This window comes from Homo sapiens, chromosome 17, assembly GCF_000001405.40.
Source record: "Homo sapiens chromosome 17, GRCh38.p14 Primary Assembly".
Classification (NCBI taxonomy): domain Eukaryota; kingdom Metazoa; phylum Chordata; class Mammalia; order Primates; family Hominidae; genus Homo; species Homo sapiens.
The window spans coordinates 2,186,398-2,202,471 of NC_000017.11; the positions used below are offsets into that span (position 1 = coordinate 2,186,398).

A 16,074-nucleotide genomic window follows, 5' to 3' on the forward strand; every position below is an offset into this window, starting at 1 on the left:
GAACGAGAGCAAGAACAAATAACAAAATGGAGAGTGAGAGGAAAAAGAGAGTGTGAGAGGAGGGGGAAGAGGCCTGGAGAACAGGAAAAAATAACCTAAAACATCAGAGGATAGGGAAGGTATTCAAAAAAAGTTCAAATAAAGAAGAAATAGAGAGGCAGGCAGGCTGTGGGCAGAAAGAAACAGAGCAGGATGAAGAGGGGAGCTGTAGGAACACGGGCAGGCCCAAGCCAGTGGTGCTGAAGCAATGGGCAGGTCAACTCACTGCGAGGGCAGATCCAGGGATGTGGGAGGAGGATTCCAGGTGTCCGGGTAGCCGAGCATCCAATCTGACCAGACTTTGACACTGGGGAGCAGCTCCTTCAGGTCCGGGACAAAGGAAGACACCTTGATGTCGTCTTGGTCATCCTGGTCCTCAGGAGAGGACAGCTGAGCTGCAGAGGCAAAGGGTGAGAACTGGGCCTATGTCTGCTGTAGCCCCCGAGTGAGGCCTGGGGCGCTGGGACGGCAGCAAGCTCTTAGGGAAGGGAGACCAAGTCCACAGGAAAGATAGGCCCAGAAGCGAGGACAAGCGCCAGCACCTAAGAGGATTCTGAAAAGTAGGACAAAGAGAGAACCAGTGTACTGGGTCTGCCCCTGGACACAACTGCTTCTGCTTCACCTGTGGCTTGGCTGAAGCCTCTACTCTGGCCTCTAGCCCACCCTTCCAGCCTTCCTTCAGCACAGTACCAAGATGGCACCAGAGTTCTTGCCAAAACTGCATGACCTGAATTTAATCACAAGGAAACACCAGAGAAACCCAAACTGTGGGACACTGTGCAAATGCTTCATATTCTTCAAAAATGACAAGGACATGTAGGACAAAGAAAGACAGAAAAACCATCCCAAATTAAAGGACATTAAAGAGACACGATGATATCTAAATGCAACGTGTGCTCCTGCACTGGATCCCAGAGCAGAAAACAACTTTTTTTTCCCCTTGCTATAAAGAAATTAGGGCAACTGGCACAAACTAAGTAAGGTCTGTGAATGCAATAATAGTATTTTGTCAATGTTGACTTCCGATTTTGATAACCGTTGTTAAGAGAATATCCTTATTATTAGGAATATAGAGTCAAGTATTTGGGGGTAAAGGGCCCGCAACTCTGTAACTTAAAAATCAAATGGTTCAGAAGAAAAATAATAACCTTAAGTATGTGTGTATGGAAAGACGAACGTAAGCCCATATGGTAAAATGTTAACTGGGGAATCCGGGTGAAGGGTATGTAAGAGTTCTCTGCACTATTCTGGCTACTGTTCTGTAAATATGAAGTTACTTCAAAATAAAAAGTTGCCCTTCTGTCCCTAAAAAAAAAAAAGGCAGCCTCCGAAGCTGGAGGCATTCACAAAGCTGGTGCGGCATGGGGTGACAGTGGGGTCTCATTAAGTCACTAATATTGATCTAGGAGCTGAAAAGAAAGGTGTAACCTTCAGCCCTACCTTCTACTGCTACAACAATCTGGCTTAGACTTCTAAGGGCAGCCTTAAAGGATATGGGATACTGTCTCAACCTAAGGGCTAAAAATAGCACCTGCTCTATCTGGTCCAGTGAGTCTCCCATGATGGCTGGTCCACAGCGGTTACAGAACTCACCAGGTACCACACAAACAGAAACAAAGAGATAAAGGGGAAAACACAACGTCGATTATGGAAACTAACTTTTCTGGTTTCCTGAAGATGCAGGAACATGCAGCAGCTCATAGGTACAGTGAAAATCCTAACTACTAAAGGAGAAAAGAGAGAGGAAAGGGTTCTACAAAAAGGAGAAGAGGGCCTTAGAGGCAATCAGACTGTAAAAGGAAATGGGACTAGTTAGGCAGGCAAAAGGAAGAGGGGCATGTAGGTAAGAGGAAGAATGGAGACTACAGGGAGAAGACACCGAGAAAACAGCATGGCACTGTGAGGTCTGGACAAGGCCAGGCAACTGGAAAGCCCACCAGGCTGGGGACTCCTCCTGCTTACCTTTGGCGGACTCCTTAAGTAAGCAGGTGCAGCGGCGGACCAGTAGAGAAAACATGGCCAAGCCCAGAGCTGCGGCTTGTTCCTGGATCACAGAGCGGCACTCCTCCGAGAAGCAGTCTGCGGACAGGCAAATGAAACTCTCAGCGCCCCAGGCGGACAAGATGCACATCACTGGCCACGTTACCGAGCTTCCTTTTCCTCACTGAAGACTAGGGCTAGTGATATTCCCTCTCTCAGAGTGGTCATAAGGCCAAGTAGAAAATGCATGTGAAGCACTTACCATGAGGTCTGGCATATGGATATGTGTTTGATAAGATGATAAGGGTCACCTCTGTCAATTCTACATCACTTTCCCAGGAACGGTTACCTCAGGAAGGGCAGTCTGAGCTGGAGCTGCATGGTCTCTGCCTTTAGCTGCCTACTGATAATGTAAAGCCATCGTAACAAGAACTCAGATTTAATTAACTCAGTCTCTCTAGTGTATAACTAACAGGAGCACAGTCATCAGTTAAGATTGGAAAAATACACATTTAAAAATGATCTTCTGTCTACTGCCATACCACCCTGAACGCGCCCGATCTCGTCTAAAAATGATCTTCTTGAATCACCAACCTTTAGTCCCATCCTTACTTCCTCCATGTCCCTCCTCCTAAGAAAACACACATGACACAAATAACCTACTTTCATGGAATGAGTTAATTTTATGCAGAACAGTGCTTGGCACATAATAAGCACTTAATCAGTGTTGGCTTTTGTTTTCACAAATTCCTTCCCCTAGCGCTAAAAAATAAACCTGGCTCCCAATCCCAGTACCCTCTTCCCGTCACTTTTTCAGCCTGGCTAACTAACTTCCTTCTGGCTCCAGGTCACCGAAAGGAGCCATCTTTTTGGTGGGCAGAATTATTCTTTGGTGGGAGCTATGTGGCATACTCCCAAAAGCCTGCCTGTACCTACTCTTCATCACTGGCCTTCCCTGAAAGCCACGTCATCTGAACTCGAGAGGAGCTGGTGACACACAGAAGGCAGCAGTCCACCACACAGCCTCCGAGGAGGAGACACCACATACCCACAGGAGACAGAATCAGGGGCCAGGCTCACTAGCTCTGGCAGCAGCTAATCTGTGAATTCCCTCTCTAATACAGGAGAACTCTCAGAATCTCCAAGTGTTAAAAGGATAATCAGCTGAATGTCTGATCTCTGTCCCTGCCTGTATTTTAACCTCAGTAGCCAAGGGGAGCCCTCTCATCAGCTCACCAGTCTTGTCAATGGGGCCCCATTGAAGTTGTTACTCCAGGAGACAATACCCAACCACAGTGATTCCTTACCATCTTTGCCCCAGGAGCAAGTATGATTGGAGTACACAAAGCCAGCCCCAACCCACTTCTGAAAGTACTGGGTGTAAGAAGGAGCAGGCTGCTGCTCAGAAGGGCCCAACAAACGAATAGCATCCAGGGTAGTAATTCTTTGATTGTGGCTTTCCCACCAACCTTCCAGATGCCCACTGGTCCCAGATGTCACCCTCTGACTTTCCAGCTCAACTGTGGCAGGCAGTTAAGGAAGTGGTAACAATCCATGTGATTAGAATAGACCAGTCTCACTCCTGTCCTGTTAAGGCCCTAAACCTCTGTTACAAAGAAAACAAGCATGCAAGAGCCAAGAAGAGGGGAGGATGGAAAGCAGGAAAGGGGGAGATATGTAAGTTGTCAAGAAAAGTTACCAACTTCTCCCCTTCACCCTCCCCATAGGCAGCAGCACTGTCAGTACCGCCCAGCTCAGTCCAGGCCATTGCCACGCCCGGACAACATCCTGCCTCTAACTAGCAACAGAGCCGGGAAGAAGGGAGTAAGTCCAGAAAAGAGGGAGTTGGGAGAAGACAAGTGGAGGCCACATCCTGGTAGCTGATACTCTGAGTAAACATTAGTGCCTCCTCATCAACTAAGCAGAAGTTACCTGCACTCAGAAGGCTAGAAGGGATGGAGGGGGGTGTCCTGGCTCCAAGAGACTGGCATTTTATGAAGCACAGGCTACACTAAGACACTCCCATGACCCTGGACAGGGATAAGACAGGGGAGGTTTCTTTCACCAAGCCCAGTTCTGTATTTATGACAAATGGCAATCACAAGCTAGACTGTCTCTCAGAGTTCAAGGTGGGGGCTAGGGCTCAGAGGGAGAATGGCTGCTTAACAACAATGGGATCTGCGGTCTTCGTGGACTCCAGGTTGGCTCCTTTTCTAAAGGCTCCTGCAATAAGGTCTGGAGACCAGGCAAGGTAGCAACAGCTGGAGTCTCTTTGGTGTAGATCTGAAAGTGCTCAGCCACCTCCCAGGGCAGCAGCTAGAAGGCAGCTTCATGACTGCTCTGTCCTTGGTGACGGTTATGTCACCTCAACTCCCCATCCCCTAACCCCCTCCTGAAGAAAGGCTTGAAATAACACTGCCTGCTTATGTGTCTGGTCCATCTGATGCGGAGTATTAAGCAGTAACTGTTCTGCTGTAATCAAGCAGGTGGAGATTTTACAAACGATCAAGGGGGTCAGCATGTCTGAGTGTTGGTCAGGCCTCTGACTGGCCATGTTACCTAGAGCACCTCCTGGAAGGCCTGTCCTTCTCCATGGCTCAGTAGTACCTCAAGCACATACTGAGCATGTAGAATGTTCCAGACTCTGTACTAGGTATGATGGAGCACACAGTTACAAATAAAACATGGTCTCTGCAACCGTAGGACCTTTCAATAGGGTAAAGAAAATTGTTATTTATCCAAGTATCCACGGCAACTTGGATCCAGTGCCTCAAGTGAGACATGCACTAAGTGCACAGCATCTTCATGGGCTGCTCTTGGCCTCACGTAGGCTTCCACAGGCTAGAAACCGTAAGACGCTACTCCCTGAAAGCATTCACCGTTACACAAGTGGGTAGGAAAACAGCATCTAGATTCCCAGAGTCCACCCACTTTGGGGCTAGATCTAGGAAACTGGCCCTAGTCTGATGAATGCCCATATATATCCCTAGTGTTGGGCTGGGCCAAGCCAACAAGTGATGTGGGGTGGGGGAGGAAAAGGCATTGTTTGCCTTGGTATTCGCCTGGGTTCCTCTGGCTTTGTGTCAGGTAGCAGGAGCATGACAGGAGCTGAGGAACTCATTAACACTGTGAAACAGCCTTTCCCCTTCTTTCCAAAAGCAGAGACTTGCTTAAGGGTTTCGGGTAAGGGTTTTGGCTAAGGAAGTCAGACGGAAATATTTCTTAATAAGAAAGTCACCTGAGGTCTGAACTTGGTTCTGCTCCTTCCCACATGTGGGCAGGTGACCACAGCTCCTATTATTCCTATGGCCAAATACCGGCTCGGACAGAAATATTCTTCTTGCTCCTATGTAACAGGGAGACTTTCTCGTTTTTCTGAGAATATATTCATGGAAAACATAAACCAACTGTCGTCAAAGTTGCATGAAATCAGGAAATGGAGCGGCCGGGAGAAGGCTGCCATGTGGCCGGATGTTATGTATTTCTAATTAGTGCTATACATCTTTCAACAGCAAGTGTCCTTCTGCTGGGAAACACAACACACTGCCCTTGTTATTGTAACTGTCAGAGAAGTGCTTAAACAGATAATCTCCAGGAAAAGTGATAAACACGTCCCCTCTCCCACCAGTATGTGTGCGACGGTGCTGCCAAAGCAAAGCTGTGCCTGACAGCTCCAGGATGGCAAAGCATCCTCCTGCAGGAAATGGGAGTGAGGCAGGAGGGGCGGAGAGGGAAGAGCAGGGGATGGGAGGCAGGCCCACCTGCCTGGGCCCTCTAAGCCGAGCCAAGGGATGGTGGTTCAGAACCACTGCTTCTGATCAATTCCAGTGTTGCCATCAGGGAGAGATTTGAAGGAAACCAGTACCAGTGGGATGGAGTTTGGTTGGTCACAGAAAAATCTGGCAGCGATGGAACTATCAGAGTTCCCTTGGTGCACACAGCCAGTTTCCTGGCAAGAGCATAAGAAGAGTAATGAAGAGAAGACACAGGATGGATGACACCTAAGTCTGATGCTCTGATAGCAGCAGAGGGGATTCTGAGGGCACTGGGGTCCACGAGCCATTCCAGCCCAGAGAACCAACTATCTGCCTGGCTGCATCACTAAGAGCTGGAGAAAAACGCAGGCAAGACCACTTATTCACCAATTCCCTCCCCACTGTCTCCTCCCAAAGAAAGGAAATGAATGGTCAGTCACCTCCAAACTACCACCACCTGGAGGCAATTTGTTGGCCCTTATCTTTCCGACATAAGGCTGCTTTTCTCATGAGTCAGTTACCAGTCAGACACAAGGCTGGCACAGTTCCTAAGCAGCCCACCAAAACCTCCTTGTCTACAGGAAGTGGGCAGTGAGAGTATCTTTCAACTGCTGCTGCTTGAGCCACAGAGTTCCCCGTGGCAGCTGCTAGCTGAAGAGGAGGTAGAGGAAGCAGTCGCTGTATAGGAACGAGACAAAAACAAAATCTCAGAGCAAAAGCAGAGATGTCTTTTCATCATTTTATTCCCTGAGGAGCAGAACGAATGAGTCAGCAGAATCAGGCACTAATACACCCAAGCAAATTATTCATGCACAATGGCAAAACAGAGGCTGACTGAGTGTAAAGCAAGTCATAACATTTCCCTAAACTGATACAGCCAAGTGACATGGTGGAATATTTGTCCCCACCCAAATCTCACGTCGAATTGTAATCCCCACTGCTGGAGATGGGGCCTGGTGGGAGGTGTCTGGATGGCAGGGTGGATCCCTCAGGGCTTGGGTGCTGTCTATGTGGTAGTGGCTGAATTCTTGCAAGATCTGGTCCTTGAAAAGTAGGTGGGACTGCCCCACTCTTTGCTCCTGCTTTCGCCATGTAAAGTGCCTGCTCCCCTTTCGCCTTCTGCCATGATTGTAGCCTTCCTTAGGCCTCCCTAGAAGCCGAAATGCTTCCTGTACAACCTGCAGAACCGTAAGTCAATGAAACCTCTTTACTTTATAAATTATACAGTCTTAGGTATTTGTCTATAGCAATGCAAGAACGGCCTAATGCACCAAGACAAGACAGAAGAAGGTGGAAGGTAATTTCCTCCCTAGGAGCCCTCGCTGTCAGTGTTCCCTTTGGATTTTCTTCTAAAGCTCTTCTGAAAGTAGGGAAATATGGGGGCAAAGGAAATCCCAATCTTCTAACAAAATGACTTCTCCCATTAATTCCGAAAACACTTGAGTGCCCAATTGTGGAGGATATAAAGGAAAGTAGGATCCTGTCTGGGAGAAGAAGATAATCTAATAAGGAAGACAGGAAGAATACATACCTACTCAAGTAACTATAATTCAAGACAATGTACTACATATCATAAGGAAGATGGAAGTAAGATGTTTCTGTCACCAGAGGGAGAGGAAACCATTTCAGCTAGCATGTAACAGAGAAGGTTTCATGGTAGAGACCTTTATTTTTGAGACAGATTCTCACTCTGTCGTCTAGACTGGAGTGGTGCAGTGGTACAACTGTGGCTCAGTGCAACCTCTGCCTCCTGGGTTCAAGCGATTCTTCCGCCTCAGCCTCCCAAGTAGCTGGGATTAGAGGCACGCACAGTTTCACCATGTTGGTCAGGCTGGTCTCGAACTCTCGGACTCAAGTGATCCACCTGCCTCGGTCTCCCAAAGTGCTGGGATTACAGGCATGAGCCACCATGCTCGGCCAGAAGAGACCATTTCTAAGGTGGGCTGGAAGAGATGAACAATGATGGAGTTGGTGGATGCAGGGGGGACCACATGTACTACTTGAGGCACGCAAGTACTGTGTGTGCTGTGCTCTACCTGGAACCACAAAGTATAGGGCCTGCAATGCCAGAACAGGGAACATGAACTTGACTCAACAGTGAGGGAGCACTCACTCAATGTTCTTGGATGAAGCAATGAGTGAATATTTTATAAAGATTAATCTAGCTAAAGCATTTAGGACTAATTAGGGTAGCTGGAAAAAGGTAACAATGAGGGAGACCAGTTGGGAAGCTAAGAGAGCATGAACTTGTTTGAAGCAAGCGAAATTACATGTAAAGCACTCATAAAGTTTATAATGCCAAGTAAGGGTAACATCTTCTTATAATAGAGGTAGAAGAGGGAATGAAAAGCAGTGCACAGATATGAAAATTACCGCAGAAAGAAAATCAAAAGAGGCCAGGAATGGTGGCTTACGCCTGTAATCCCAGCACTTTGGGATGCTGAGGCAGGAGGACTGCTTGAGAGCCCAGTAGTTCAAGACCAGCCTGAGCAACAGAGTAAGACCCTGTCTCTACCAAAAGAAAAGAAAACAAAACAAAACAAAAAAAAAAAGAAAGAAACATCAAAAGAGGCTGGAGATAATGCTGTTGAGGGGGTACGTAGGGGTGAAGACTGCTGGAGCAGGTCAAAGACTCTCACGTGTATTCTCGGCAGGTTCCAGAGGATCCTGAAAACTCAAGAAGAGTAACAACTCACCAAACAAGATCCAAGTAAGGGGGAAGAAACTCAGGACTGCAAAACACCTGGAGGGAGAGAGGTATGTGTCAAGGAGTCCCCAGGCTCCCTCCCTCTTGGCTCTGGGCCAAGTCCTGTCTTTCCAGAACAAAGACACTTCAGGGGGTCAGAAATACTTGAGGAAGACCTAGCAAGAGGCGGCCTGGGAAGTCTGAACTGGTGCTCCCTGTGGAAGCCATTAGATATTCGGCACTTCATTTGTTTCCAATTCTTGTACGAGTACAGCTCCAGGCTGTGGGGTGACAGGCTCCTCTCTGACGTAATCAGGAAGCAGCTGCAAAATTAAGGAATCCCTCATGACATCATAAAAAGGGTCGATGGTTTACTGGGGAAAGTATAAAAATTAATTACATATTCCCACATGACACCCTTCCCCTAAATCTGTACACACCCTCTCCCACCTCCACACATTCTCTCATCAACAACATCCAGAAGCCACCTCAATGGACAGGGTACAAAAGGGCAAACAAAACCCAGAGAAGGTTCTTTGATGCACTCACACTGTCTGCCCACCTATTTGGAACTTAACAAGCAATACCTTGTCCTGGAATTGTTATTCATACAGTAGGTTTCCTCAACAGAATTATAAGCCCCTTGAGGGCAAGAGCTATGTCAAGACTTCACATCCTTGGAAATCAGCACCATAGAGAGGTTCAAGAAACATTTGCTGCTCATAATAGTAGGCACACTTGCCTCTCTCACTTTGGATCTAACCATGAATGACATGATTCCACTGTGGCCAGACATAATAACTAAGACATTTTGAGACCTATGTTAGGCAAACAATATTTATATATATTATCTCAAAGCTTTACAAAAGGATTGCCTGAGTATTATTCTCCTTTTTGACATTTGAGGAAACAGGCTCAGAGAGACTAAATGACCTGCCCAATAACACAAGGCTAGAAAGTGCCAGAGCTGGGATCTGAATCCAGTTCTGTCTGCTCTCATGCCCACATTGTTTGCATATCTGATTTTCACACGCCCGTGACTCAAGTGTCACACTCCCACTGCTCCTCTCTCCTTTGCTATGAACATGAAAAGCTCAGACTACTCCAACCACAGTGCTGCACAAAGAGCTCAGAGATGATGACTGTGTGGAAGCCAAAATGAAAAACATGCCATCGTTTACAATAGTGACAAAGAAAATGAAATATTCAGGTATAAGTCTAACAGAACGTACGGAAACGCTATGCTAAAAATCTGAAAATGCTGATGAAAATCAAAGACAAAGCCAGGCATGGTGACTCAACGCCTGTAAACCCAGCACTTCAGGAAGCTGAAGCGGGCAGATCACCTGAGATCAGGAGTTCGAGACCAGCCTGGCCAACATGGTGAAACCCTGTTTCTACTAAAAATACAAAAATTAGCTGGGCGTGGCGGCGCGTGCCTGTAATCCCAGCTACTCGGGAGGCTGAGGCAGGAGCAGGGGAATCACTTGAACCCAGGAGGCGGAGGTTGCAGTGAGCCGAGAATGCGTCATTGCGCTTCAGCCTGGGTGACAAACTCTGTCTCAAAAAAACAAAACCCAGAAAATAAAAGACAACCTAAAAACTGGGGAGAGTTACCATGTTCATGAACTGAGCAACTCAGCATTGTAGAGATGCCAGTTAATTGTTTAACGCAATTGCTATCAAAATCTTAGGAAGGTTTTATGTAGACAATAGATCTATAGGTTTAACGCAACAGCTATCAAAATCTCAGGAACGTTTCACGTAGATAAAGACAAGCTTATTCTAAAGCTTATCTGGAAAAGCAAAGGATGTAGAACATTTCAAACAATTCTGAAAAAGAATAAAGCGGGAGAAATCGTTCTCCCTGATGTTAAGTTAATGAAGAAAGGGGCCGGGCATGGTGGTTCATGCCTATAATCTCAGCAATCTGGGGGACCAAGGCAGGACTGCTTGAGATCAGGAGTTTGAGACTAACGTAAACAACATAGCAAGACCCCACCTCTTCTAAAATAAAATTAAAAGGAGGAATATCTTTTCAACAAATGGTACTGAAGCAATTAGACATCTGTATGCAAAAAAACAAAGCAATAAAACCTTGACCTAACTTTCACACTTATACAAAAATTATCTCATAATAGATCGAAGACTTATATATAAAACATAGGACCATAAAACTCTTAGAAAAAAATGGAAGAAAATCTTCAGGACCTAGGACTAAGAGTTCTAAGACTTAATGCCAAAAGTACAATCCATAAAAGGAAAAACTGATATACTGGATTTCATAAAAATTAAAAACTTTTGCACTGCAAAAGACCCTGTAAAAAGATGAAAAGGCAAATGATAGGCTAGGAAAATCTGTTTGTAAACCACATATCTGCCGAAGAACTAGTAACCAGATTACATATAAAACTCTTAAAACCTGGCCAGGCGCGGTGGCTCACGCCTATAATTCCAGCACGCTGGGAGGCCAAGGTGGGAGAATTGCTTGAGCCCAGGAGTCTGAGACCAGCCCTGGCAACATAGCAAGACTGTGTCTCTAAAAAAAAAAAAATTTAATTAGCTGGATGTGGTAACATTTGCCTGTAGTCCCAGCTACTTGGGAGGCAGAAGTGGGAGGATCACTTGAGCCTGGGAGGTCAAGGCTGCAGTGACCCGTGACAGTGCCGCTGCACTCCAGCCTGGGTGACAGAGACCCTGTCTCAAAAAAAACAACACATAAAGAAAAATAAACACAAACCAAAAAACAAAAAACCTCTCAAAACTTAACAGTAAGAAAACAACAATACATTTAGAAAATGGGCAAAAAAAAAGACAAACCAGATATTTCATCAAAGAGGATATACAAATAGAAAATAAGCACAAGCAAAGATGTTCAATATAATTAGCCATTAGGGAAATGGAAAATAAAACTACAGTGAGATCTCATTACATATCTATCAGAATGGCTAAAATAAAAAACAGTACCACCACCAAATATTGGTAAGGATGCTGGGAAATTGGATCACATGTACGTTGCTGATGGAATGTAAAATGGTATAGCTGCTCTGGAAAATAGTTTGGCAGTTTCTTCTAAAACTAAAAATGCACTTATGATATGATCCAGCAATTGAACTCTGGGGCTTTATCCTGAAGAAATGAAAACTTACGTTTAGAAAAAAAACCAGTATATAAATGTTCATAGCAGCTTTATTCATAATGGCCCCAAACTAGAAACAACCCAAATGTCTTTCCACAGGTGAATGGTTAAACAACTGTGGAATATCCGTACCAGGGAATACAGGGAATACTACTCAGCAATAAAAAGGAATGAACAACCAATACGTGCAGTGAGTTGGACAGACTCCAGGAAATTACGCTTAGTGAAAAGCCAGCTTCAAAAGGTTATATACTGTACAATCCCATCTATATAATATTCTTGAAATAATATATTTATAGAGATGGAAAACAGATTAGTGGTTGCCAGGGGTTAGGATTGGGGGCTGAAAGGCGGTAGGGATGGTTCTAAAGCATAGAGCAGGAAGGAGCTTTGAGTGTTGGGAAAGTTCTGCATCTTGATTATAGTAATAGTTACATGAAGCTACATGTGTGATAAAATTGCACAGAACCCCACACACACACGCACACAAGTGCAAGATAACTTGTGAAATCTGATTAAAGTCAGTGGATACCAATGTCAGTTTCACGATGTTGATATATACTAAAGCTATGCAAGACATGAAAAATGGGGAAGGACGGGTGAAGGGTGCATAAGACCTCTCTGTACATTTTTAAAACAACTTCCTGTGAATCTATAATTATTTCAAAATAAAAAGCTTTAAACAAGTAAACACAACAAAAAAAGTAAACCCAAGTAAAACCGAAGAAGATCTGACACAGCATTCCAGAAAGTTTTACACAGAAAAGGGTTACTCAGTCACTTGGGGGATACTTTCTCAATTAACAGTAGCTGATTACCCTGTCCAGATGCTGGAGCCCCTTGTTCTCATCTTCTGCTGCCTGGCCTGAGCTGGTGGAGATGCCCAGTTGCGGCTCCTCACCAGCTTACACAAGAAACTGTCAGGGGCAACCAGAAGGAAAATAAAATAAAATTAAAAAAAAAAAAAAAAAAAAAAAAGAAAAGTTCACTGAAGACAGAACTTCTGTCTAAAGAATAAGGAGTATAGCAAGAGAACGTCATCGTCAAGGCCGTGAATCACTGGATCAGTAAATTCCACAGCAAGCAGCACAAGATGAAGGTGATGAGAAAGTGAAGAAAGATGACGAATGAATTGCAGAAACTGAGCGAGCAGTTAAAAAATGTTCTTGCTTCTCAAAAATAAGGTACACATCTCAAACCAATGGTATGCACATTCTTCAAGAAAGGGCAGTCAGAGGAAAAAGCGGCTTCAAACATGAGTCTGAGTACTGTTTTCTTCATAAAGGAAACTACTTAGGCATTTTTGGTGTTGCTTTGGATTATCAATCAGATGGATATTAAGGTATTTATTTTTGGCCAGGCATGGTGGCTCATGCTTATAATCCCAGCACTTTGGGAGGCTGAGGTGGGAGCATCACTTGAGCCCAGGAATTCGAGACCAGCCTAGGCAATACAGTGTGAGACCCAGGAGGTTGAGGCTGCAGTATTGTGGAGTGATTATGTCACTGCACTCCAGCCTGGGTGACAGACCAAGACCCTGTCTCAAAAAAATAAATAAAAATAAATAAATAAATAAATAAATAAAAATAAAAAAGATTTAATTTTGATTTAAAAAAATATTTTTGTAGGCCAGGCACAGTGGCTCACACCTGTAATCCCAGCGCTTTGAGAGGCTGAGGCGGATGATCACTTGAGGCCAGGAATTCGAGACCAGCCTGTGGGCCACCGTGGCGAAACCCCATCTCTACAAAAAATACAAAAATTAGCCGGGTGTGGTGGCGTGTGCCTGTAGTCCCAGCTACTTGGGAGGCTGAGGCAGGAGAATCGCTTGAACCCGGGAGGCGGGGTTGCAGTGAACTGAGATTGTGCCACCGCACTCCAGCTTGGGTAAGAGAGCACGATTCTGTCTCAAAAAACAAAGGTTTGTTTTTTTTGTTTGTTTTGAGATGGAGTCTCACTCTGTCACCCAGGCTGGAGTGTAGTGGTACAATCTTAGCTCACTGTAACCTCTGCCTCCCGGGTTCAAGCGATTCTCCTGCCTCAGCCTCCCGAGTAGCTGGAATTACAAGTGCCCACCACCACACCCAGCTACTTTTTGTATTTTTATTAGAGATGGGTTTCGCTATGTTGGCTAGGCTGGTCTTGAACTCCTGACCTCAAGTGATCCACCCACCTCGACCTCCCAAACTGTTGGGATTACAGGAGTGAGCCACCGTGCCTGGACAAAAAAAACTTTTTGTTTTTTTTAAGTGCCAGCAGTAAATGAATTTTATTTTAGGTAAACTTTGCTGAAAAGTGGAGACTAAAAGGGATTCAACCTGCATATACCTTTTTTAAAAACGTGAATTTAAGCCCTGTATTCCTTATTTTTTTTAATTATACTCTAAGTTCCAGGGTACATGTGCACAACGTGCAGGTTTGTCACATATGTATACATGTGCCATGTTGGTGTGCTGCACCCATCAACTCGTCATTTACATTGGGTGTATCTCCTAATGCTATCCCTCCCCTTCCCCCAAACCCACGACAGAAAAAAAAAAAAAACTTTTTGTAGAGACAGGGTCTTGTTTTGTTGACCAAGCTGGTCTCAAACTCCTGGCCTCAAGTGATCCTCCTGTCTCAGCCTCCCAAAGTGCAAGAATTAGAGGCATGAGCCACTGCACCTAGCCCTAGATATATACAAACAGACACACATACACACAATTTAATTTAATTTTATTTATTTATGAATGAGACAGGCTCTCGCTCTGTTGCCCAGGGTGGAGTGCAGTGGCGCAATCATAGCTCACTGTAGCCTCAACTTTCCAGGTTCAAGCAATCCTCCCACCTCGGCCTCCCAACCTCCTGGTCTCAAATTCCTGAACTCAAGTGATCCTCCGGCCTTGAACTCCCAAAGTGCTGGGATTACAGGTGTGAACCACCACACCCGGCCCATTATTTATTTTTTAATTGGCAGCATCAACTGCAATACTCTGATAAATAGCCCCTTTGCCAATGTATCTGTAATTACAAATCAAACATTTTCTAAAAAGTAGGTGATTTTATCAGAATCAAACATGTTTGCTTTTCAAAAGACAAAATGAAAAGGAAAGCTACAGAAAATTATCTCACTGGGAGAAAATAATTGTAAAAGATACATCTGACAAAGGACTCAGAACTGAGGTATATAAAGAACTCTTTCAACTCAGCAAAATAAATAAAAAATTGGGCAAAGAAGATATATGGATGGCAAGTAGGTACATGAAAAGATGCTCAACATTACTAATCATTAGGGAAATGCAGATCAAAATCACACATACAACTCCATACCCAACAGCATGGCAATAATAAAACAGATGGATGAACAATAACAAGCATTGGAGAGGATATCAAGTAACTGAAATTCTCACACACTGCTTTAACAATGTTAAATGAGACCGGGGCACAGTGACTCACACCTGTAACCCCAGCACTTTAGAAGGCTGAGGTGTGTGGATGGCTTGCGGTCAGGAGTTCGAGACTGGCCTGATCAACATGGTGAAACCCCATCTCTATTAAAAACACAAAAAATATTGGGCGTGGTGGCAGGCACTGTAATGCCAACTACGCAGGAGAATAGCTTGAACCTGGGAGGTGGAGGTTGTAGTGAGCCGAGACCACGCCACTGCACTACAGCCTGGGTGACAAAGTGAGACTTGATTCAAAAAAAAAAAAAAAAGTTAAATAATATAACCACTTTGGCAGTATCTTAAAAAGTTAAACACCAGGCTGGGTGCGGTGGCTCATGGCTGTAATCTCAGCACTTTGGGAGGCCAAGGTGGGTGGATCACTTGAGGCCAGGAGTTCGAGACTAGCCTGGCAAACATGGTGAAACCCCATCTCTACTAAAAATACAAAAATCAGCCGGGCATGGTGGCAGGTGCCTGTAATCCCAGCTACTTGGGAGGCTGAGGCAGGAGAATCGCTTGAACCCAGAAGGTGGAGGTTGTAGTGAGCTGAGATCATGCCGCTGCACTCCAGCTGGGGCAAGAGAGCGAGACTCCATCTCAAAGGAAAAAAAAAAGTTAAGTACCAAACGACCCAGCTATATCACTCACAGGTATTTACTCCCTAAAAATGAAAGCATACATGCACGCAAAGAATGTTCATAGCAGTTTTACTCATGAAGGTTAAAAACTGGAGGAGAAAACACCAAATATCCATCAACAAGTGAATGGATAAATAAATTGTGGTATATCCACACAGTGAGGACTATTCAACAATAAAAAGGAATAAACTACTTAATCATTCGAATGTCAAAAACAGACTCACACCTGTAATCCTAGCACTTTGGGAAGCCAAGAGGAGAGGATCACATGAGCCCAAGAGTTTGAGACCAGCCTGAGCAACACAGTGAGACCCTACCTCTAGCAGAAAAAAATAAAAAATTAGCCTGCAGTGGTGGCAGGTGCCTATAGTCTCAGCTATTTAGGAGGCTAAGGCAGGAAGATCACTTG

The 16,074-nt window shown here is 44.9% G+C and overlaps 1 protein-coding gene and 1 pseudogene across 12 annotated transcripts in view, besides 1 other annotated feature; one reads left to right on the top strand and one right to left on the bottom strand.

Annotated features, from left to right (window-relative positions):
* The window catches only part of SMG6 (SMG6 nonsense mediated mRNA decay factor), a 243,947-nt gene that overhangs the window by 126,559 nt on the left and 101,314 nt on the right, over positions 1–16,074 (bottom strand). For 11 of the 12 annotated variants that reach the window (XM_011523769.3, XM_047435696.1, XM_005256569.5 and 8 more), the window contains 2 exons: positions 2,002–2,118; positions 266–434 (listed from right to left, as the gene is read on the bottom strand). In XM_011523769.3, the coding sequence (XP_011522071.1) occupies positions 266–434; positions 2,002–2,118 (286 nt within the window). Of the gene's footprint in view, positions 1–265; positions 435–2,001; positions 2,119–6,499; positions 8,518–16,074 lie in introns of those variants that run through there. The other variant, XM_011523772.3, reaches the window with a different exon arrangement.
* Positions 8,284–8,785: an enhancer, noted in NCBI's record as "NANOG-H3K27ac hESC enhancer chr17:2097975-2098476 (GRCh37/hg19 assembly coordinates)". NCBI's record gives its function as "activates a minimal SCP1, AML or CMV promoter by ChIP-STARR-seq in primed H9 embryonic stem cells {active_cell/tissue: H9 hESC(primed)}" and the evidence as "EXISTENCE:reporter gene assay evidence [ECO:0000049][PMID:30033119]".
* On the top strand, positions 13,365–13,642 carry RN7SL624P (RNA, 7SL, cytoplasmic 624, pseudogene; annotated as a pseudogene).